General features: G+C 40.2%; 1 protein-coding gene and 1 long non-coding RNA gene across 37 annotated transcripts in view; one reads left to right on the top strand and one right to left on the bottom strand.

Annotated features, from left to right (window-relative positions):
* Positions 1-2468, top strand: part of LOC340512 (uncharacterized) — a 128156-nt gene extending 125688 nt beyond the window's left edge. The window contains exon 5 of the long non-coding RNA NR_126029.1: positions 647-2468. This is a non-coding gene — a long non-coding RNA (uncharacterized LOC340512). The remainder of the gene's footprint in view (positions 1-646) is intronic.
* ZNF462 (zinc finger protein 462) overlaps positions 1-25208 on the bottom strand; it is a 153477-nt gene that overhangs the window by 36334 nt on the left and 91935 nt on the right. For all 36 annotated transcript variants that reach the window (XM_047423662.1, XM_047423672.1, XM_047423680.1 and 33 more), the window contains 2 exons: positions 5029-5296; positions 3028-3164 (listed from right to left, as the gene is read on the bottom strand). In XM_047423662.1, the coding sequence (XP_047279618.1) occupies positions 3028-3164; positions 5029-5296 (405 nt within the window). The remainder of the gene's footprint in view (positions 1-3027; positions 3165-5028; positions 5297-25208) is intronic.

Raw genomic sequence — 25208 nt, 5'->3', positions numbered from 1 at the left:
GGATGTCATGGATAGAGCAGGAAGAGGACAGGTGCAGAAGGAGCCATGTCTTGTTACTTTGAGATCAGCCCCAACTCAAAATTGCAAGGCAGACATGCAGCTCTGTCTCTCGACTTGTCAAGGTCAGCTTCCTACTGAGCTGCCATTTTGAGTAGAGATGGACACCAAAGCCAGGCCGGGACACAGATGGTATACATGGCTGTCCTGAGGCACTCTGCTGCCTGTGGATCCGTGGACTTCCCCTCTGACCTCCTCTGATAATTCTGTCTTTGAACTCAGCCGCCACAGCTACTAGAACACTCAACAGGGTGATACTACCTCTCTCAGGGTGAGAGAGTGACGCCTGGTGGGTAAAGGCAAGAGCTGTGGGTCAGACAAGCCTGGGTTTAAATCCCAGCTGGATTACTTACTAGACATTTCATGTTCGTCAAGTTGTTAGCCTTTCTGAATCCATTTATTTCCTCATCATGGGGGATAACAGTCATCCACCACATAGGATTTTGTGAGAATTCTATAAAATGACATACTGTAAAGCACTTAGCACAGTACCTGCTAGGCAAGCAACCGGCAACAGTAACCATTGTTGTTATTATTGTTAATGTTGTTATTATTACTATTAATCCTCAAATGCTCATGTTCATTTCAGATGGATGTTTTCTGACCTTGATAAGGACTCTGAAAATGATCCTTACAAGTAAACAGAAGAGACCACAAATAACCAGTGACAGGTAATGTGATGAGACATGGGATCAAAGGACTGCGATTGACTGCTTACCAGTTGGGTGACTTTGAGTGAGTGATTCCAGCTCTCATGTGCCCTGCAAAACTTACTATTGTATTTATGATGGGCACAATATGCACTACGTCACACACTGTGCCCTTCAGGAAAACCTGCTAGACAAATTCCTCTAGGTTTCAGTGTCTAGGATTCCTGAAAATTTCCTGAATGACAGTTCAAAAAAGTCTAACAAGCAGTTGAAATCTGGTTGCTTCTGTGGGTTTCTTTTCTACCATGGTAGGCAAGGAATCTCAGGGCGAAATCTGCAGCCCACTGTGAACAAGGGCATGGCACCTCATGGTATCCACTGGGTATCCAAACTCTCAGCTAGCTTTTTCATACTTAGAGGTGAACTTTCCACTAGTTTCTTCTTATTTTGCATTTACCCCAATTTCCTTATTTGTTTTTAAACCTATAGTTCGGCACACACGTCTTTAAGATATCTTAAAACCTTTGTGAAATGAAGTAGATGGCAAATAAGTACATTAAATTATTTTAAAAATAGTTTGTCTCACTCTCAAGTTTCACAGGCATACAACGGGAATAGAGTAATAGTATCCTTCACAATGTTGCTGGAAGATGAAGTGACTGTGCGTGTAAGCGGCACTTTGTTGAGGGTAGAATGCTATGGGAGTATTTGTGGTCGTAGTGTTTAATCTCTCTTTGCTTCCCCCTTTCTTGTGTTCTCAGCTCAGGGAGGGAAAGTCATTGAGCTTGTTAGGCATCAAAGCTCTGTTCCTGCCAGGCAGCAATATGGGAAAAGAAGGGAACCAACCACAGAAAGTGAAGACTCGCCATGTCTGCTCGGCAGCAGCCCTGCTGATGGCCCCTTACCAAGCTGTGATAGGGCACAGAGCCACCGCAACACATGGGCTGGGGGACCGGAAGCCAGGTGACTGAGGCGGAACACCAGGCGGGACCACTCGGGCCAAGAATTCCTGCCTAAATGTTCCTATGATACTTCTCCCAGCTTGCAGGTGGACATCCTAGCCAGCAACGATCTCATGTCTCATTAGAGTGCAAGGGGGAGGAGGGAAATCTGTGCATGTTAAATGTCCAGCCTTCCATTGAGTTTGCATGAACATGGGTGAGTATGTCACAAATGTATTGGCCAAAGGCAATGGCTCAGGGGCAATGTGAGGTGTGTTGCCAATGGCCCCCAAATACTCAGCATTTCAGAGTGAGTGACATCCCAGCAAGACAACAGATGACACTCATTGCTTTTGAGGCATATGTGACAAATATTGGAAGGCTTTCTAAGGTCAGAGGCGAAGGAATGAAGATAGGAGGGAAGAGGATGAAAAGAAGGGATGGAGAGAAAGAATGAAGTAGATGGAAAGATCAGTAGAAACACCAATCAAGACTGGCAATGAGTACTCCAGTAATCTTTTTCTATCCACCTGTAGCTTGAATCTTTTCAGGACGAAACAGATTCTACATATTTTTCCTTCCAATGCAGAGGAAGGCTGTTGTTTAACAGTGTTTTAATTGGCCAAGGGTAAATGCAACTCAAAGAAAGACCGAAGTGGACTTAAAAGAAGTATCACTGTTTATCAGCAGGAACCAACATTTATTGAGCAGTCATTATGCATCCATTATGAAAAACCACTGGACACTTTACCCATTATCTCATAGGTACAATCATCTCTTTTAATGGATGGAGAGGTTAAACACAGTGGGCTCTAAAACCAGAATTTAAATCCAAAGCCCATGGATTTTCTAATTATTATTAGAATATATAATAGAGACTATTATTAGAATGTATAATATACATTATTTTAAAGAATTCTCTCTCCCTTCAACCATTTCAAGGGAAGTTCCATGTTCTGCTTTGGAAATCATTTTGGTCTTCTTGAAAGAATCTCTCACAGCCATAGAGCTCTCCACATTTCACATTTGCTTTCACCCACCCATTTTGTTTCTTGTTCATTCCTTCTATGCAGTCTACGCAAGGCTGTGGGTGGCAGAATTGTCAGAATGTACAAATCCCCCATGCTGGGAAGCCCTACGGAAATGTTCACTGCAGAATCCATCACCTTTGCCTCCCTCCAGGTGGAGGAAATACTCCCAGCAGGAAGGTGTTTTTGCCCTTTTGGCTGTCACTGTGGTTATCACTGTGGTTTCTTGCCTGAAGATAAGGTGAGGAACAAGGCACAGGTGCTACTGCCACTCTGAGAGAGCATCCCTAGAAGGCCATCTCTGCTGCCTGCCCCCCGCTGCATCCAAGAAAACCAAGTTAGAAAGGTTACCTCGGTGCAGCACGATGTGGTCAATCATGTTGCGCTTGTATTTGGTGTGATAGAGGCAGAGAGGACAGCGAAGATCTTTGGGGCCCTCCTCGGGAACTGCTGAGTGCCCAGCTTCCACGTGCATAGTAAAAGCAGATCTAGGAGAGAGTTTGGGAGGAGAGGTGATGCGTGTAACCAGGGATCATTGCATTTTCACATTTCCTGCTGGCAAACCCGTTATATATGTCCAAGTGCGGCTCTCCTGCTTGTGGGGCTAAAAAAAAATCTGTTCATCATGTTTGTTGACCACCCAGAAACTTGGTCACTCAACCGAATCTGAACACTGTCAAATGGTAGTAACTTCTTTCTGGAAACTGTGCCCTGGGCTGGGTTCAGAGCTTAGTTTGAAAAGAAACAAATTCCCCAAACACCTTATTCTTAAAAATTGTCTGTTAAGAGTATCAAAACAAAATCCCAAAAAAGGAACTATTTTTCATCATGCTTGGGAGGAGAGAGACTATTTTAAAGCTAGGTTGACTTAGAAACTGCCTGTATAATTCTTCACAGGTAAGGGGGGGAGGACAAGTTGTCCAGGAAGTCAATCATCATGATTGATGATTAGGTAAACTAAGTGGTGTTGTACCAGCTTAAAGGTGGAATGGTACTGCTGCCTCTTCCTCCATCCTTTTCAAATCTTCAAAATTTGCAAAGCCTTAAATGTCTCATTAAAATCGATAAAGCCAAGACTTTAATGGGCAGGGACCCTTTCTTGTGAACCCGAGTGTTGCTCTCTGGAGAAAGTGTCTGCCTGTCTGTCGGCCCTTGCCCTCTGGGGTCCTCTAGCCTTCTCTCAGCACCAAATCACAAATGTATTTATCTGAAAAGTAACTGGAGCAAATTAATAGAGATAGAACACACGTTCCATCAAATCCCAGCTACTACGATGCTGGTGGGAAAGAGACTTCTTCTTCCAATTCTTCTTTTTCTTTGGACATGAAGCCTAATTTCCACAGCCTCTCGGTGTGAAGCATGTATTGAAGTAGTCTAAGGCTCAGATCCTGATTACAATAGGAACAGAAAATAATAGCTTTTTATCTATGATATCTAATGTCATATTATTATAATAGCTTTCTATCTATGATATTATTACACTTATTAGTGTTTGCTTTGTGCCAGGCACTATTCTAAGTACTTCAAGATACACTGGTTCATTTATTGCTCACAAGAGCCCTATGATGTAGGTACTATTATTATCTTTATTTTATAGGTTAACAAAATAGGGACACAGATAGTGTCTTAGTGACTTGTCCAGAATCACCCAGGTAGTCAGGCTCCACACTCTACACTTGTAACCACTAACCTAAACGCTATCTCACAGGATGAGATTCAAATGCAGAAGCTTAGATTACATCATAGGAAGCATTCCATTCTTAATAATTGAGTCCATCAATTCTGTCATCCACAGGGGCAAGGGTGACTATGGATTCTCTTTTTCTAGACTGGAGCAATCTCCCTATGATTGCTCAAGTGTAGTGTTGGAAGTGCCAGGGTCTTGATTCTCTATGTGTCTTTCAATACTACGATCTTAAGAATTAAAGAATTTTCTATCAGGGGAGCAGGGAAGACACTACTGCCGGATGTTTTCTCTTGACTTTGACTTTGCTTCCAAGAACATACTTTTTTTTCCAAAGCTAAAAAAAGGAGAGGAGACAGTTCTCTGAAGGGAAACACCACTCCACGCATGGGAGGAAATCATTTGCTTCAATCTTACACTACTTGAGAGCCCATTTGCTCCAATTTTAAAACTCATTTGTTCTGATATAGCTCTTCATCCCTTCCCAAATCCCAAAGCAGTCTTCTGAAACTACCCTCCTTCCATGAAGCCTGGACCCAACCCCTACATCATCACATGGGCAGGGCCTCCCATAAGCTCCAAGTAGGAAAGTGTAAGGGAAGCCTGCAGTGAGGGGTGGAGCAGGGGCGGCCGCCTTGTTTTCCATAGCTGTTCATTACGTCACTTACTTAAAGCCTGTGTAAAAGGAGCAGTCTTTGCACTTGAAAAGCTTCTTCCCACCATGCTTGTCCCGGTAATGACGCCTGATGCTCTGGATGTAGCCGGAGGAGAATTCACAGAATTCGCAGTGAAGCACGGCTTCAGTTTTCTGCTCAGTGCCAGCAGCAGCCCCAGAAAGAGGCACAGGGCTAACACGGCTGTTGTTCCTTGCCAGGGCAGCTGACTGATAGTGGTTCAACTGCTGCTGAACATCTGGGGGCTCTGAATATGATGAGTCTGTGAAGAGACGGGAAAAATGACACGGGGCACAGAGAACACAGTAGGTGATCGATGCTTGAAAACCCCTGACATCAGGTTTCTTTTTACCCTCCAGCTTTACTAAGGTATAATTGACAAACGGAAATTGTTTATACTTAAGGTGTACAAGATGATGATTTGATATATGTATCTGTTGTGAAATGATGACCACAATCAATTTAATGAACGTATCCATCACCTCACAGTTACCATTTGTAATGTGCAGGGAACACACCTAAGACCTACTCCCCCAGCAAATTTCAAGTACACCACACAAATTTCAAGTATTATAAATTATAGTCACTATGCTGCACATTGGATCCCTAGAACTTACTAATTTTATAACGGAATGTTTGCATCTTTTGACCAATGTTAGTTTTGAGAGTTCTTTTTTTTTTTTTTTTAAGAGGGATGATTATGATTCCATCTTTTATCTTCATTTACATTCTACAACACAGATTTGGGGAATGCATGCCGGGAGGAACTATCACCTCTTTTAATCTGACTTTGAGGGCTCATGGTATTTAAAAATAAAATTTTGAGGTTAAAGGTTTCAAAGTGTAGGAAGAAAGTAAACCGTTTTTTTGTTTTATTTTGTTGTTGTTGTTTTTTTTTTTAAAGGAAATCGCAGCATGGCAACAGGTTGCCACAGAATACCCTTCCCTGTAGGTGAGAAAATAAACCTGCATAATGTACACAGGCGTCTACACGAGAAAGGAAAGGACATGATGCAACATCTCCTCCTTTGCAGCCCAGATTTATTCAAGCAACCAAATTTAAAAAAAAAATCAGTCTTTAACAGAAATGCTCAAGCACAAGGCACTCACACAAATATAAAAATGTTTTATGCCTTCACACTCAAGTGATTTAAATTTTAAAATATAAAAATCCAATAGCGTTCTCCTGGAATGGATGTTTAAAGCTTAGTCAGCATTAAGATGGAGATTTATTCATAAATCCCATTAAAATGAAATTCCAAACAAGTTTCCCTGAAAGGTATTTTAAAGTTTGCGATTCTGAGGAAAATGTCGGAAATGACAGGCACAAATCTTAACCCCGAGAAGCTTCAATGGCATGCGGTGGAGAAATCTGATCTAGGAGGGAGGAGGGGAAATCTCAGCGTTTCTTCTTTGAATTAAAAAAAAAGAAGAGAAAAAAAAGTAAAAATAAATAAATAAAGGGGTTGGGGGAGAGGAAAAGTAAAAGGTCTTGAACCTTTTCCCAACATGCTGCTTGCAATGTGGAGGTTAGAAATTCAAAAACATTGTCCTATATAACCTACAGCTGCCTATGAATGACACAAATGAAGTCCATGAATACCACACAGATGAATTTCAGTGTAACTTTCCTTGAAAAGAAAACAAAGGGCTCTTTTCTTAAGCCTTTCAAAAAGCAGGGGGGAAAGGGGATAGAAACTGTACAAGCCTCCTCCTGATTTGATGGACACTTAATTTTCCAAAGCATAATTCCCTAAGGCAGGACATGGAGGAATTCTCTAAAACCCATATTTGATGAAACCAGCACCATCCATCCCGTCAGCCTCTTCGAACAGGAAAACAAAAGCAGAGCAGCCTCCCTGATTGCTGGGCCACCGCCTGTCTGCAAAACACTCAAATATCTTCCCCTTCTTGTTCTCCTCCCCGCCTCCTCAATTCATATTCCTCAAGATTGAGAAAAACCCCTTTGGAAATTGTAAACAAACCTGCCACACACACAAAAATAAAACAAAAGGAAACCTGAACAATGTCTCCAAGCCTCCATAGGTTCATTACCAGGTGTAAATGGAAGACAAAGGAAGAAAGGAATGACAACTGAATTCATTTTACCCAGTTCTTTTATCTCCTTTTTCTTTATTCCTCTACCCTAGCTGATGAACCCACTCTGGATCACAATAATGCAATTGTCAACTTTTCATTCTTCTCATTCAATAGCAGGTTTGTTTACCATTTCATGGATTGTTTGAGATGTTTTCTATTTAAGCCCTCAAGTCTAGTTTCTGCTTGAAACACATGCACAATGAAGCACAAAACACACTCCACCTCTCCTGTTATCACAGGCTTGAGCTGTAAGTTGAGCACTGCCAGCCAGGATCCCCAGATAGCTTCTGTCCTCTTGGTAATGTTGGTCCTAGTTTGCACTCTTAGCTCTGCAGAATAGAAATTCTATAACCAGCAAGGCCAAAGCCAGGTCCTGCTGGCCTGTGATCTGTCTACCATCCACAATCCACCCAGAGACCAAAACAAATCTCCCAAGTGATGGTCTAGGTCTTAAAGGAGTCACAGTCCCCTCCATAACAAGGCACATCCCTGGATCTCCCAGATTAGTATGAATGCTGGTAGTCATCTCAGATACCAGGTACCTGACATCTCCAGTCCCTTTCTAGCAAAACTATAAAGAAATGAACGGCTCCTAGCCAGATGATAAGCCAGATGAATGCACTCCCAGACCTCCCATCCACCCCCAACTCAACACATGCACTGATCTGTCAGGCAGACCCCCTCCAAGGACCCCAATCTCTTTTAGTTAACACATTTTTATCTTGTCTCTAGGGCCTATTGCATATTATTTCATCCATCTCAAAAAACAAATTCTATATTTTAACTCTGGTATTTATACAGTATGGAAAACCTGAAGAAATAAAAATGCAAGAAGTCACGGGAAAAGCATTCCAAGAAACAGAGGCTCATTGCCCTTCTCAAATGGCAGTGCAAAAGGAACAGCTAATGCGTCCATGTCATAAAATTTTTTTTTTCCTCCTGGTTAAAATCAGATGGACAGGTTTATTGACAAAAACAAGCAAATCCCATCATTTAGGACACATTTGTAATAATGCCCAGGTTACAACTTTTTGGATTTTCTTAGGGCTTTACTTTCCTTTCTGCTGCCAACATTCTCAATTTCGCTCTCGCTCACGTGGAATTTGTGAATAATGTAGGATTTTAGCACTTTGGGCACTAAAGTGATAAAGACATGAGTGTGTATCATTCCACCGATCTTTAAAAAGCCCACTTGCTAAGCTACATAAAATTCCTGTTTGTTCATGAAGCATGGCCTGAAGAGCAGGAAGGAGGTCGTTCTGTGCCCAGGTTAGAAAGGCAAACAGATTGTTAGCTGCGAAGGGCATGTCACATAAGTTAAAAATCATCATTAAGACTATTTTCTTTCATTTTGAGCTTAAGGAAAGAAAGGTTAAAAATATCCTTGTGTTGGGAGAGTCAGACTTCTGGTCATGGGGAAATACAGCAGCTGAATCACATGGATGTGAATTCAGTGGGAAGTTCTGCACCCAACTGCGGCTCACACAAGTTAGATCTTTAACACCTGTATGGCCAGTGGTATCTACAATGGAACCAACAGCAAAGACTAAGGTGGTCCACCTTTAAAAGCAGGTCATGGCTTAGCATCACCATACATTCCCAACCAACCAACCAACCAACCAACCAACCCTGACACATACAGTCTGAGAAAAGAGTTTTATTCTCTGACTTGTGACTTTAATTATATGTGAAGTTTTAGAAATGAAATTATAATGTATAATTGTAGTTATAAAATAAATTTAATTAAGTTATATGGAGTTCTCCAGTTTGTAAGCTATCATAAGAAATGAATTAAAATCAGGATCAAATTAGAATTTTAGCAATGATGGTCACAGTGCCTATAGGATTTAGAATTTATTCAGAAGCCAGCAATTAATTCTCACAACTATGGTGTGCGGTCTAATTGGGTTTACATCTCAATTTTACCAGTGAGGTAGCTGAAGCTGAGGATGACGGGTCACATAGACACGAAGAAGCAGAGGTAGGATTTGAACAAAGACCTGTCTGATTATAAAGTCTGAGTCTTGTGTCTTAGGCATCTGTTCTCAATGGTGACCTCTAGGGTTCTGTGATACAAATCAGAGGAGCCAAAAAGAACATGAACGTTGCTTCAGCAATAAACACATAGTAGAGAGGAAAGAGAGAAAGTGATAGAAAGGTTGAAATAGTTAAGAAAATAACATTAGAACAGATGCAAATGATAATAGAATAGACAGAAAATAACACTAAAATGAATAGGGAAGAAAACACTAACATTTTGAAGCATTATGAAAAAAAATAAAGCAAGACTCAAAAAGAGAAAGAATATCTGAAATTTCAAAATGCTTATATAAACAAAATAAGGGACCACACAGGAGACATTTCTAGAAGCATGTTGTGAAGATAAGCCCTGCAAATACCCAGAACTGGAAACCTATCTGTCTAAATGTCATGCTTTAGTTAGATGCTTGATAAATTGTCCTCAAATAATAACACTCTAACATTCCTCAAGTGGGGTTTGGCTGGGAAAAGAAAGATACACAAATGCAAATGAGAGATGGGTGCTTTTTCGTGGCTCTTGAACAGCTCAGGATTTCAAACCAGGTAAGGGCTGAATTCTAAATGGGATGTCCTAACCCTCTCATTTTTCATGTTCCTGGAGAAATTGGACTTTTTTTTTTGCTAATTCCAGCTCTCTAGAATAACAGTTTGAGTTGTTTTGATTTTTTTCCTTTTTTTCTCCAAAACTTAGAGAAAAAAATGAAACAATCACAAGAAATTTGACTTTATAAAGGCAAACGACAAATAAATGGACCATAAGCCTGAGAGAATGAGACTTTCTTGAGTATTCACAGTTCCAATTCCACAACATTTAGTTAACATTGTGCTAGTGCCAGGTCACGTGCTGGCTCTGGGGATCCAAAGTCAAAGAAGACATGAGAGATGCCTTCTAGAAACTCATATTTATTAGGGGAGACAGTTGAGCAGTTGACTTATGAAAATACAGGCCTCTCCATGTCTAGTAAACTTACTCCACTGATTGAAGGAATAAAAGAGGCAAAGAGAACAAATGAACAGTAACAGGAGAGTTCAGCTATTGTAAGTTTAAGGAAGACACAAGGAAGAATAAGAGTCAATTGGGCAGCAAATTGTAGGAGCCGCAGAGGACAGCCCCCTTGCATGCTCTAAGTGATACAAAGAGGAAGCTATACCAGAGGATCAATTCTCAATTTTCTGCAGCCCTGCATAGAGAATATGAGTGAAGGTGAAAGGGAACAGAAGTACCTTGGTGCCAGCGAGTACATTTAATTATATTTGAGCTAGATTTTTGTGCAGACTTGGAAGACAGGCTTGTTGGTCAGTGTGAATCAAGTACCAAGAAAAAATAAAAGACAAGGAATTTTAGGCAAGCAAATTTTAGAGGTGGCCAAGGGGCAAATGATTCAATTACACCCATTCATTCAGCAAATATTTACTGAGCATTTAAGTAAATAGGAGACCCTGTTCTGGGACAGTAAGACTTGAGCCTTGACCTCAAGCAACTCACTTTCTCAGACAAAGATGTAAATAATTGATCGTGATACAATGCAAACAAAATGTTTTAATAGAGGTATTTATAAACAGGCAGGGGAAGGAAGGAAAAATCAGCAGCACTTTGTGCCTCACAGAATGTGGGAGTGAGAGAGATGGAGAGGGGATGTCAAGAGAACTATGAGTGTCCATTAATAAATATAACTAGTATTAATTAGTGTGCTAATTAATGAAATCAACACTAGACACGCAGCTACCTAAACGTTCAACTCACTACACCTCCACCTTAAGTCGTACATTTTGGAGAAACTAAACAGAAATTCAACAACTACATTATTATCACAATGAAAAAAAATGACTTAATTTCCCTAGGGTAAAGAAATGATGAGTCTGAACAGAAAAACATGTACATCAGAGGGTGGGGTAGGTTGTGTAAGGGACAATTTAAAATCGCCAAGTTCTAAAATAGCATAGGAAGTTCAAAATAATACATGGATTGTAATTTTCTTCTGAAAAGCAGACTATTTAGCAACTAATGGTTGGTAGCATGGGCCATTAGAAACAGAATATTATCTGTGGATAACTTAAGATATTGTAAATGCCCAAAGTGAGGAGGTTGAGGGAGAACCCAAATAAGCTAGACGTATAGACCATTATTTCTAGTGAAGAAAATTTGAGAAAGGTACACAAACAAAGGTAAGAGGGCAGCTAAAAATGTACTTTATTTAATAGCCAGGAAACTTTTGGGATGCCATGCAACTTCTATTATACAACTGCTAATAAACTTAGGCAAAGGACAAAAATAGTTTCAGTATTTTCATGTATGCGACAGTGATCCAGGAATCTGTAGTGACCAGAAACAGAATTCTGCAATGGGAAACCTAATGAGCTTTGTGATCATCTGAGTCTTCATCTAAAGCTGAAAGACTATTCAAGCTTTGTGTCTGATGGACTCCTGAAACTCACCACATTGAGAACTGACACCATCTTTCCCTAAACATCTCCTTCTGCGTTCTGAATGTTGGTAAATGGCCCACCACTTTGTTTGAGCTCAAATTGTGAGATTCTTCCTTCAAAGGTTCAGATTTCTCCCTTCCCTGTGGCAGCACATTTAAACAGGTATAACGCATCAGAGACATGCCTCATGACCTGCCTCCATTCATTTTCCTCCTCAGTCCTGCCTTCCCTACCCCTTGTTCATTGAGGTCCTCCTATTACATATGGGCAACTCTTGAAGTCTCCTACCTGGTGTTTCTTCTTCTAAGATCAATTCCAGTTCAGCCAGCATACATATCATTACTCATATATGATTATGATATGAGTGTGCCCTATTGCTCAAGAGTAAAGCTCTTCAGTCTCGTCTCAGCCCATGTCTCCAGCCTCACTTCCAGCTAGCTTCCAATTTCTTGCAAATTCTACGTATTGCATCCTTGGGGATCCTTAATCAACGCCACCAGTGTGCTTTCTCTTCTTTTTCCCTGGCAAATTCTTACCCATCCTTCAAAACTCAGCTGAAATGTCACACCCTCTGTGAAGATTTTTCCCAGCAATCCGAACAGAACTCTTTGCTTTCCTCTATGCTTTGCCAATACATACACATTGTGATTCTTGCCCTGATCTCATTATACCTCATATTACATTTACAAGTCCTCCTTAAGCAAACTTGGCTAGATCAATGTCTCTGACCTTAAAACATTCTAACCAAAGAAGAACCATGGCAACAGTGGTATCTAGGCTGATGCTGTACACCATCCTTTAGCAGGTCCATCCATTTCTGCTTCTAGCACTGGACCTAATGCTAACAAGAATCATCAGTTTCATTTGCTCCTAAAACTTTTTTGTACCAGTTATATTTGCTACTGAGCTCATTCAATTTAATTAATATTCTATAAGATAAAATATAGGTATAAAAGTGTTATTTCTATGAAAGCTATGTTGAATGCTTTGAAAAGACTTGATAAAGTCAAGTTGCTAAAAAAAAATTACTGTTAAGTTACATTTTGGCAAGACCAACTATAAAAGATTGAGAACATAAAAATCTAGAAGGACTCTGCTCTAAGACTGTTTCACAAATGTCTAAGTTCTCATTCCACTTCAAAGAAATGGAAACTGGAAGTAACACACAACGCAGTGTAGGTGAGTGTGGTTTACACAAGGGAGAAAACAGGGAACTTCAATCAAAGGAACGAGATTCAAATACATAGGCTTTACCCTGTATCACAATACTGGTGAATACATGTATTTACATTTTAAATGAAATTAAAATGCTTAAGGCATTTTGAAAAGGATTCCCTAGTTAGGATGGTGATTATCAAAAAAAGAAAGTAAGTGCTGGCAAGGCTGTGGAGAAACTGGAACCCTTGTGTGCTGCTGTTTGGAATGCAAAATGGTACAGTCTCACGGAAAATAGCATAGAATTTCCTCAAAAAATTAAAAACAGAACTATCGTATGATCAAGCAATCCCACTACTGGATATTTATCCAAAAGAACTGAAATTAAGATCTTGAAGAGATATGTACTCCCATGTTCACTACAGCATTAGTTACAATAGCCAGGAGGTAGAAGCAACCTAAGTGTTCATCAACATGTGAATGAGAGAAAATGTGGTGTATAACACACACACACACACACACACACACACACACACGAATATTATTTAGCCTTAAAAAAGAAGGAAATCTTGTTATATGCTAAAGCCAGTCACAGAGGGACAAATACTGCACGATGCCACTTCCATGAGGCACCTAGAGCAGTCAAACCCATACAGACAGACAGTAGAATGGTGGTTGCCAGGGGCTGTGGGTAGAAGGAAGTGGAGAGTTGTTGTTCTATGGATATAGAGTTTCAGTCGTGTAAGATGAAAGAGTTCTAGAGATCTGCTGTATAACAATGTGTATACAGTTAACAATACTATCCTATATACTTAGAAATTTGTTAAGAGGGTAAATTCCCATGTTATATGGTTTTTACTGCAGTAATTTTTTTAGGTGCCTTTAGACAAGATCATCTGTTAGGTTCCTTACAAACTTCATAAACTTTAATTATCACCATAAATACTTAATGATGGTACTTAAGAAAATATCCATTAGATTGAATTTGTGGACAGCCGTGCTATACAGGCACACAAGGCATTGTTCCTGTCAATCTGAAATGACAACCAAGCAGGTAATGTCAGCTCCACAGGAGCAAGGGTTCATGCTGTCTTTTTCGCTGATGTATCTCAATTGCTTAGAAGTGCCTGGAAAGGTACTTAAGAAAATGTTTCCTGGATTAAACTTGTGGACAACTTTGTTAAGTCCAGATACATATATATTGTTTTAAGTTATTAAAACAGTGTGTAACACAGAGCTATCAAGATGATTCTCAGACTCAAGAAGTCTGCTGATTTAAAAAATTGTTCTCGGTTCTATCCGAATTCCTTTGTACCTTGATTTAATTCCCATTCTCAAAATACCTGTTTCTCAAGTGCTGTTAACACTGAGCAGAATTTGGTATCCAGAGAAACAATAAAAACCACAAATCACCAATGCAACTTTCCAAGTATTTCCTCTGAAGAGCCTCAAAAATGTTCTTTATCTATGGGCTATTCCAAAAGAAAATTATATTCGAAACTAAGCTTTAGAATACAAACCATTTCCATTCCATAGTGTCTAAGGGGGAACATACGCCTCTAAAGGCAGTCACATTATTTTATTTCCTTCTTTTGATTATGCCTTGAAAATCTCCAGGCCAAGGACTCTGGCACCTCCTTGTCTACTGTCATCAGTGGAGCTCTCTGGCCTGGACGCACAAGATTATGATACAATGGCCAGGGGGACAATGGATGCTGGATGACTATATATAGGAATTCTGGACTCCGTTGTCATGGAGGCAAACGGAAAAACAAACGCCTAATCCTGAAAATAAGGTTGAGGCCAAACTTGAAGGAAACACACACTGAAAACTTCCTGTCATTCTGATGAGTAAAAACAAAACCTTGAAATATGATCAGGGAATAGATTGAGAAAACAAAACAAAACAAAATATTAGCCTGCAAAATGATACAAACATGGCAAAAAATGGGCAAGCTTTCTCTTTTTTGAGATCTAGTTTCCCATCATACTTACATTCACTGAAAAGGTTTCTCAAAGACCTTATTTTGTGTGAAGCCTCATGTTTTTTCTTTATATTTTTGAGGAATCCAGGCAGGTCTGACCTGAGGCCAAGGAGGATTCCTGGACTTTTCAATTCACTAGATCGTATACTTGGGAACATATTCATTTGTCTTTCTATATTTTTTGTCAATGACATCACCATTCATTCACCCAGTCAATGAAATCAGAATAAATCCTTGATTCATTTCTCTCTTTCATTCCACACATTCAATGAGTCAAAAGCTCTGTTGGTTCAGCCTCCTGAGAAACTCTATCTCTGTGATCCACTCACTAGCCCACTGCCATGGCTTTTGTTCAGGCCCTCGTGGTTGCTGTGTGAACTTCTACTGCAACATGTTCCTAACTGGCATTCCATTTTCCAGTTTCTTCTCCCCCTATGATTCCTTTCTTTTCTAAAATGCAAATGTGATCATGACACTCACTTTCTTACAGAAAAAAGCCCAAACTCTGAACCATGGGGCTCACACTCTCCTTCATCTTTCCAGGCCGATCCTCACTCCCTTGCCCACACTGTTTCCATGCTGTGCTTAATGCCAGTCACATACAAGGCTTCTAATATTCACTTTTTATGCCTTTTCCCCCTGCATTGTTGTATATTCTTGCAATATCCTTCTTATACTTTTCAGTCTGACAAACTCTTACTCATCTTTCAAAACTGAACTCAGTCCAAATCTGCCATCACCACGAAGATTTTCCTTGACCCTTCTAGATACACATATTAAATTCCCCCCTTAGACTCCCCTACTACTACATATCATGCTGTATTAAGGTTAATTTATTTTACCCCTACCAGACTATGATCTCTTTGAAATTAGGCCATCCATCCATCTATCCATTCATGTATCCATGTGTGCATCCATCCATCTATCTATAATTGTTTTAAGTCGATGTACCCCAGAACTTAGTCCAGTGGCTGGCCTAAAGCAAGTGCTCAACAAACATGCTACAAACATCCAAAAAAAAAAAGAGTACAAACTGAAAATACTGTTCTGGAAAACCCAGATTTAAAAAGAAAATGCAACTGACCAAATGCTACTCTCTCTTTGGATACTGAGGTTTAAGAGTCTTCCCACTGAAACACTGAACCATGTTTGCTGAAATAAGCCTGGGTCTTTTTTAATTACACGGACAATGGCTTCTGAACATTTAAGAACTTGAATGCAATGTAATTCAGAATCCATGGCTGTCTCAAGAAACCAAAGGCATTAATTTCTAGTCTTGCCCCTAAATCAGCTATAAGCCAAAACTCAAAACACATGCTATCAGCACATCTGGAAGCCACTTGAGATTATTCAGTATGCAGCTCTCTATCCCTCATTTTTTTCACCCATCAGTAGGCATCGATGTTTGTGAGATGCTCAGGTGTAATGGGTACCATGTATTTAAATACATCATAGCTTTTTGATAAACAATCAACACCTGAGACCATACAAATAGAGCCCTTTGCAATCTGTGAGAAGGTATTCATGGATTACCTTCAGGTGTTTAGAACTATATTTTCACTGTATACACTGTTTTACCTATTTTCCTCCATTAGAAATGCACTCATCCCAGATATGTAGCATACAGACTATCCATTTTGCCTAAAGACTTGTAGTGGCTCAGAAAAGCAGATATGGGTTTATGTTGCCCAGGTAACCAATGAAGAAACAGAAGCATAACTTGGGGATCCTGAATGCCCAGTCCCAAAAATGTGTGTGTTTGTTTTTTCTGCCACTGTAGCTATTCCTTCTTCATTAAATGATATTTGTAATTCAAAGTGTGTGTTCTTAAAAACCCTCCTTGAAACAGGCAGGAAACTTGTAGGGAAATGAATGTGTGGTGAAGGATCCTTTTTCTAATGTTTTTTGGAGGAAACTCTGGGTGGCATCTGCCATTGTTAATTGAGAAGCTCTCACAATACCGAATGCATAATTCACCTGTGACTCTTTTGAATTGTGTGATGAGGAAGTAAGGTTTCCTGCTGTTCGTTTAGATCATATAGATGTCTTTACCACACTGAAAAAATCCAACAAAAAGTGTTGAGCACAAAAGCCTCTTTATATAAATGACTTGGCCTCAACCGTAGAGAGCTTGTGAGCAACCTCAGATGGTATTTAGAGCTCACAGGCCGTGGGCAAGGCCACAGTGCTTCCTCCTCAAGACCTGACTGGAGGGAAGATGCCTACTGACTTCAAGGAGTTGGTCACAATTGATGGCTTGCTATGAACAGTGCTGTGAGAGCCCGGAGGGAACAACTGTGGAGATTTCTTAAAAGATTCGATAATCAAGAGGAAAGAGCACATCTGGGTATAAGCATATATATATTTAGATACACGTAGAGCTCTAAGTGATGCTACACGGAAATCAGGTGAGAAAGGCTATGGTTGATCAAGAACAAGAATGAGCAGCCACATTTCAAAGCACAGAGCTCTTCTAAAATTGTCCCCGAGCGGGAGTCTCTGAGCCAACAAACCCAGTGGGTTTCTTAACCCTTTTTTTCTTTTATTTTCACCTATTTCCATGCAGTGTAAGAAAATCCTCGCTCTAGGTTAAGCTATATTTTTAATCACCGTTAAAGCAGTAGGTTGTTCCCTTAGGATAGCTCCTCCACCCACTCCAAACTCACCCCACAGAAATGCTGCCCAGTGATGCTGGATTCAGGTGTAGGGTATTAAATTTCCAAGAAGCTGGAGGGATCAGGTAGTGAGATCCAGGTTCACCTTTCACTGTCTTAGCCAGCTCTGTCTAGCATCTGTGTCAGATGTTTTTTGTAAAGTCTCTTGTTGCCCTTCACCATGACCTTATGAGAATTATTACTTCCCATTATATAGATGGCAAAACCCAGCAACAACTGGAAAACAGACAACTTTTCAGCTCCCAGAGTATGTTGAGGAGCCTCCTTCTAGGTCTGCAGCAACTTTTAACCCAACACACCTCTGTGTCCTCATTTGTCAAGTGGAGAAGATAACATTGGCAACTTCATAGGGTGCTCTGGAGATTATATAAGACCAATGTGTGAAGTCCAGTGACTGGCACATAGTGAGTGCTTCCAAGGGCCTCAGTTCCACAGCAATGAAGTCTGCATTATATCAATTCTGCACCAAGTAAGTGTTTATGGAGTGTGTTCTATGGATGGAAGCATTTGGACTCCTTTACTGGACTGCAGAATCAAGTGGAACAGGGATCTCTGACACAGCTGTAAAATATGTAGTATTCATCCCAGCTCTAGGCACATAGTAGCTGCTTGGAGGCTACTTTTTGACTGACCAGTTCTGGCACAGCCAAATGCACTGCTACTTATGGCAGCAACTTGTCCAGTGATTTTGTAGGGGGAGATGGCTGAGTGGGGAGGGGATTGATTGTGGGACTTGGATTCAGCTCAAAGGCAGGGCTCAACCTGAGTAATACCACAGACAGAATGATTCACTCCTATTTTGTTAGTTAACAATGCACATGGAATGGTCACAAATCAACTTGCTTCAAAAAGTCATCTCAGGGCAAATTCAATTCCCAAACTGGACAGGCTTTCCTGGCAATGATTCTGGGGTCTATTTCCTTTTCAATATTCTTCAAGATTACCTGCAGCTTTGAGCAAGGTTCTTGGCATCCAATTGATAGGCTTGGCCTCAATCATTCCTGTCATCAATGATGCCCTCCCCAACCACCTTACCTGACACTCCAACTCCCATCCTTTCTACCCTTCACCATGGCTTTCTTTCTCTTGATAGCACTTCTTGCCACGTCATCTACAGTGGATGTATTGGTTGACTGTCTGGTTCTCCCTGCTACCCACGAGGAATGTTATCGCGAATTTCTTAGTGTGCATGGATGTTTGGATTTTATTTCATGATTGATAAGGGCATCTCAGCTTCCTTAGGAACTTCTGGCACAGCTAAGTATGGGTTACTCTTTAGGGGTGTTTGCTTACTACTCATTTTGAGAAATCTTAGGCTCTGTGCTGAGAGGTGCTTTCTTCCCACTATAGATCTACAAAATAATTTGAAGAGAAAATAAGTGGAGAAAGGGATTCCAGGAAGAAGGAATAGCAAGGGCTAAAGTGTGAGATAGTAGGACCCTTTTAAAGACAGGGTATTCAGTGTAGCTACAGTGCAAGGGAAGAAGTGGTGAGGAATGATCCCAGTGAGAAATGCAGGGCCCAATGAACAGCTTTCCATGCTAAGCTCAGAATTTATTCTGAAGGCAACGTAGACAGCCACGGAAGGGCTTTAAGCAGGGAGCAGGTGAGATAGTGGCCTCCCAGTTTTACCTTTACTGTGTCTGTAAATTGTACCCACAGTCCTGACCTCTCAGATGGGAAAGGAGGCTTGGTAGAAATGCATTCCCACTGTGAGAAAAACCAACTGGCAGCACATTCCCTAGTGATGATGGAATATCATCAGCACCCCACGATTCCACATTTTGTTTTGTTAAGTAGAAAACACCATCTTTTCTTCTCGGGATTTTACTAGCAGGTTAGAATTGTTCATCTGAACTGTTCATCTAACTGTTTCTATTGAACTCAGTACATTCACATCTCAAATGGACTATGGCTCTACCTATGGGAAGGAAAGAAAGGAACTTAGTAGGCTACCTTCTCTGCTCCCTACCAACCCTTCATGTGCAAAAATTAATAATAATGTAGAACAGGTGACCAAGTGCTTTATCCATGTGCTGCAAACCACAGTGTGTAATCATCAGCCACCCTTTGCTCTATTTCCTGAATACACACTCTCAGCAACATCCAAAATATTTCTAGATCTGCATTTTACTCTTAGTTTTAACATCCATTTGTCAACTCAGACGCTTAATACATATTTCTTAGATTCATTTAGACAACACTGTGATCAAAATATTATTTTGCAAAGTGATGCAATATTCTTCTGGATGTCTTAGCTTTTTATAAATGGTTGGATTACTCATGATATATATTATATGTACTATACAGGCATATGCTTTATTGCACTACAAAATATTACATTTTTTCCAAGTTGAAGGTTTAACTTGAATAAGTCTATTGACACCATTTTTCCAGCAACAGGTACTCATTTCCTGTGTCCGTGTCATGCAATATTCTGTAATATTTCAAATGTTATTATAATTTCTGTTACGGTGATGTGTGATCTTTGATGTTAATATTTTAACTGTTTTGTGGTGTCATGAACCATGCCTATGTAAGATGCAAACTTAATCAATAAATGTGTGTGTTCTGACTGCTCTACCGACCAGCCATTTCCCCCATCTGCTTCCCTCTCCTTGGACCTCCCTATTCCCTGAGCCACGACAATATTGAAATTAGGCCAATGACTAACCCTAGTAGAATGGCCTCTAAGTGTTCAAGTGAAAGAAAAAGTCACACGTCTCTCGCCTTAAATCAAAAGCTAGGAATGATTAAGCTTAGTGAGGAAGGCATGCTGAAAGCTGAGACACGATGAAAACCAGGCCTCTTGTGCCAAACAGTTAGTCAAGTTGTGAATGCAAAGGAAAAGTTCTTGAGGAAAATTAAAAGTGCTACTCCAGTGAACACATGAATAATAAGAAAACAAAACATCCTTATTGCTGATTATGGAGAAAGTTGTAGTAGCCTGGATAGAAGATCAAATCAGCCACGACATTCTCTTAAGCCAAAGCCTAATCCAAAGCAAGGCCCTCATTATCTTCAATTCTATGAAGGCTAAGAGAGGTGACAGAGCTGGAGAAGAAATGTCTGAAGCTAGCAGAGGTTGGTTTATAAGGTTTCAGAAAAGAAGCTGTCTTCAAAGCAGAAAAGTGCAAGGTGAAGCAGCAAGTGCTGACGTAGAAGCTGCAGCAGATTATCCAGAAGATATAGCTAAGAGAAGGGATGAAGCTGGCTCCACTAAGCAACAGATTTTCAATGTAGGCCCCACAGACTTTTATTGGAAGAAGATTCCATCTAGGACTTTCACAGCTAAGGGGAAGTTAATAACTGGCTTCAAAGCTCCGAAGGACAGGCTGACACTCTTGGTACAGACTAATGCAGCTGGTGACTTTATGTTGACAGCAGTGCTTTTCCCATTCAAAAAATCCTTTAAAATTATGCTAATTGTACTCTGTGCTCTATAAATGGAACAACAAAGCCTGGATGATAGCACATCTGTTTACAGCATGGTTTACTAAATATTTGAAGCTCACTGTTGGGACTTACAACTCAGATAAAAAAGATTCCTTTCAAAATGTTACTACTCATTGGCAATGAACTTCATCACCCTAGAGCTCTGATGAAGATATACAAGGAGATTAATGTTGTTTTCATGCCTGCTAACACAATATCCACTCTGTAGCCCATGGATCAAGGAGTAATTTCCATTTCAAGAGTTACTATTTAAGAAATACAGGTAATAAGGATTCAGTTGCCATAGATAGTGATTCTTCCGATGAATTCTTCTGACTTAGGCAAAGTAAAATAAAACACTTTTCGAAAGGAATCACCATTCTAGATGACATTAAGAACATCTGTGATTCATGGGAGGACGTCAAAATATCAACATTAGCAGGAGTGTCGAAGAAGTTGATTCCAACTCTCATGGATGACTTTGAGGGGTTTAAGACTGTGGTGAAGGAAGTAACTGCAGGTGTGGTACAAACACCAAGAGAACCAGAATTAGAAGTAGAGCCTGGAGAGGTGACTGATTCTCATGATAAAATCTCATGATAAAACTTGCAAAGATAAGGAGTTGCTTTTTATAGAGGAACAAAGAAAGTGGTTTCTTGAGGTGAAGACTACTTTTGATGAAGATGTTGCGAACACTGTTGAAATGACAACAAAGGATTTAGCATATTTCATAAACTTAGCTGATAAAGTAGTGGCAGGGTTTGAGAATATTGACTCTAATTTTGAAGGAAGTTCTACTGTGGGTAAAATGCTATCAAATAGCACTGCAACAGCACTGCATGCTGCAGATAAAACTTTTGTGAAAGGAAGAGTCAATCAATGTGGCAAACTTCATTGTTGTTTTACTTTAAGAAACTGACACAGCTACTCCCAATCCTCAGCAACCACCACCCTGATCAGTCAGCAGCCACCAACATCAAGGCAAACATCCTTCATTAGCAAAGAGATTATGAGTCACTGAAAGCTCAGATAATCATTAGCATTTTTTAGCAATAAATCATTTTTTAATTAAGATATGTACATTTTTTAGACATAATGCTATTGTATACTTAGTAAACTACAGTATAGTGTAAACATGACTTTTATGTGTACTGGGAAACCAAAAGATTTGTATGACTTTTATATTGCAATATTTGCTTTACTGAGGTGGTCTGGAACCAAACCCGCAACATCTCCAAGGTATTCCTGTATGTTAGATACCTGATAGATACAAAGATAATCAGATCTCATATTTCAAGAGCTCTCAGGTTGTTAGGGGAGATTACAGCAACACACACTAAGATGAGTGAGTGCTCAAACAATCAAACAAATGCCCATGAGTCCATTATCTGTTGTTAGTAGCGTGGCCAGAAGACAGTGGGGCTCTGGAGTCAGAAAAGCATTCAAATCTTGATTTACTACTTTACTACCATGACTATTTACAGGACACAACAAATTTTCATTTTACATTTACAGGACATCTACTCTAGGAAGGAAGCAGCCTTATATTCATTGTTCAGAATAAAAAAATAACAAAAACCCTGCTCCTAAAGAGCTCCCTCCTGGTAATATTATGGAGTCAGTAGACTGAACTACATGTTCTTAAGAGAGGTAGGGCACAGCATTGAGGGATTTCAGAGGAAGAGTTGACTCACATCTCGGGAGATCACTGTTGCATCACAGAAATGAAGGAATTTGCAAGTGGCTTTGAAAGACAGGTAGTACCTGGGCATGTGGAGATGAAGGAAAGGGGACATAACATGAACAAAGGCAAAAGGATGAGGAGAGAGATGCTCATTCCAGTTAGGCTAGAATATAGGGAGAATGAGGCAGCTGATGGAAAGAGAAAAGGCTGGGTATAAACATGGAGAATATTGACTGAGTTTTTTTTTTTTTTCCTCTTTTAAACAGGCTGATATGGTTTGGTTCTGTGTCCCCACCCAAATCTCATCTCTAATTGTAATCCCCACGTGTCAAGGAAGGGACCTTGTGGGAGGTGACTGGATCATGGGGACAGTTTCCTCCATGCTATTCTTGTGACAGTAAGTGAGTTATCACAAGATCTGATGGTTTAGAAGTATGGCACATCCCCCCCTCACTCTCTTTCTCTCTCCTGCCACCATATAAGATGTGCCTTGCTCCCCCTTTGCCTTCCACCTTGATTATAAGTTTCCTGAGGCCTCCCTAGCCATGTAGAACCGTGAGTCAATTAAACCTCTTTTCTTTATAAATTACGCAGTCTCAGGTAGTTCTTTATAGCAATGTGAAAACGGACTAATACACAGGCCATGCAGAGCTGTTAAAGACTTCTGAATAGGAGGATGATTTGAACTCTTAACCTTGCTTAGAATAGAATGAATGGAGGACTTTGCAGGTGGGATAAACATGGTAATTAATGGCTTAGGTAAGAGATGAGGATGGGAAGGAGGGAGATGGATGTGAGAAGAATTAAGGCAATATAAACATCAGGACTAAGCAGACAACAAATGACTGGTTGATGGAACGTGGGTCCAACAAGACCTGGAGTGGCAGAGGATATTAGCTAGGTCCCAAGGGCTCTGGCAAAGGGACAAGTTTAGTAGGAAATTAATGAGTTCCATTTTAGAACCTTTGAAATGAAGGTTGAATGAGACCCGCAGGTGGAGAAGGTAGGGAGCAGTTAGAACAGAGGGTCTCAGACTTAACATGAGAGGTTAGCACTGGAAGTATTGGTGGCATCAGAAGAGGGCAAGTTGACTTCATATATCTGTAAAGAGAGAGAGAGAGTGCAAAGAGAACTGAGGACGAGAACCAAGTACATGTAAGGGGAGCAGGAGAAACATGGCAAAAACAAGGTAAAGGGAAGGCATGATCAGAGAGGCTGGAGGAGAGCCTGAAACACATAGCAAGACCAAAACCAAGGGAAGAGAATTTCCCCAGGAGGAAGGTCAGCAGTTTTAAATGCCACAGACAAAAAAAGAAGGATGAGGCAAGAGCAGAGGCCGTGACCTTGTTTGTCTGAAGTCACTGATGATCCTTGTGAAAGCTATTTCATTATAGTCATAGGGATCAAGGTCATGCTGCAAGGAATTCCAGAGAGAGGGAGGGGGAGCCAAGGAGGCAGCAGGTGTAAACAGCAAGAAGGAATGACTCCTTCCCAGAGAAAATGCCACTGCAGTTAGCCCGTATTAGATCACTTCATGAAAGTGGTTTCAATAAAATGCTGAAGGCAGAACACTGAGTCTAGCAGTTTACGAAAAGCAAAGAGTGAGTGGTGAGAAAGTAGAAGTTGGGATTATTGGTTTTTTCCTTCCAAGAGATTTGGAAGATAAGATCGCAGAAGGTCACATCCAAGAATGGTTTTAATATTTCAAACACAGAGCACTTTCCTGGGGTTCATGTATAACCTTTTTAAGATTTGCCTGGGGAAAAACAGTACATCTAAGAACTGAGGCTTAGGGAAGCAGTGGCACAGTAAACAGACTTTGGAGTCAGGCTGATGTGCCCCCTAACCTCAACTCTGCTGGATTTAACTATGACCCAGGGCACACCACTTAACTTGCTTAAGCCTATTTTCCTCCTTCCTAAACAGCAAGGAGCTAGTCATGGAGGTTCCTGTCTCATGGGATTGTTGTATGGCTTAAATAAAATGAAACAATGTTTACAAAGTACTCAATCAGTAGATATGCAATAAGTGATAGTTATCATTAATTAAAAATGATCATCGATTAATGTCAGTAATAATTATAGTAATGATGTCTAACACTGGGACTCATCAATGCATTCCACTAGCCCATTAGAGTATCAAGTGCTAAGGAGTTTCTTATTTGGGTGGTTCCAACCAAGCCCTGAAGTTCAGATAAATTTATATCAACAAGGCTCCAGATTAAGCACCACCTTCCAAACACTGAACTGTCTTAGGCTTCCAAGAAAGCTCATGATGTAAGGAAACTTCATTCAGCTTGAGGCTAGATGTGAAATTTTTTCCTTTTTTACTTAAACCCATTCTATGGTTGATTAAAAAGGATCATAAATTGAAAACAAATTTGCTTCTACTATAGTATTTTAATAATAGCTACTATTTCTACAGTAATTTAGAATATGAAAGTACTTCCATTGTGTTATCTCATTTGATCCTTGAAATAACCCCATAAAGTCGGCATCATTATTTTGCATATTAGAAACTCCAAGGCTCAGAGAGGGTAAATGCTTTAACTAAGGACATGCATGTGTGATAGGGAGCTAGACAGGACCTCTACCTAAGGCTGTACATTTCATTAACAACAATGTGAATGGTACTTCCTGGACTTGAGCCTGCAGCAGCTTTCAAGCCAAATCT

The sequence above is a fragment of the Homo sapiens genome, chromosome 9 (assembly GCF_000001405.40).
Source record: "Homo sapiens chromosome 9, GRCh38.p14 Primary Assembly".
In the NCBI taxonomy this organism is placed as follows: Eukaryota; Metazoa; Chordata; class Mammalia; order Primates; family Hominidae; genus Homo; species Homo sapiens.
Note: the sequence above shows the minus strand (reverse complement) of the source record. Positions and strands in the feature narration are given on the sequence as shown.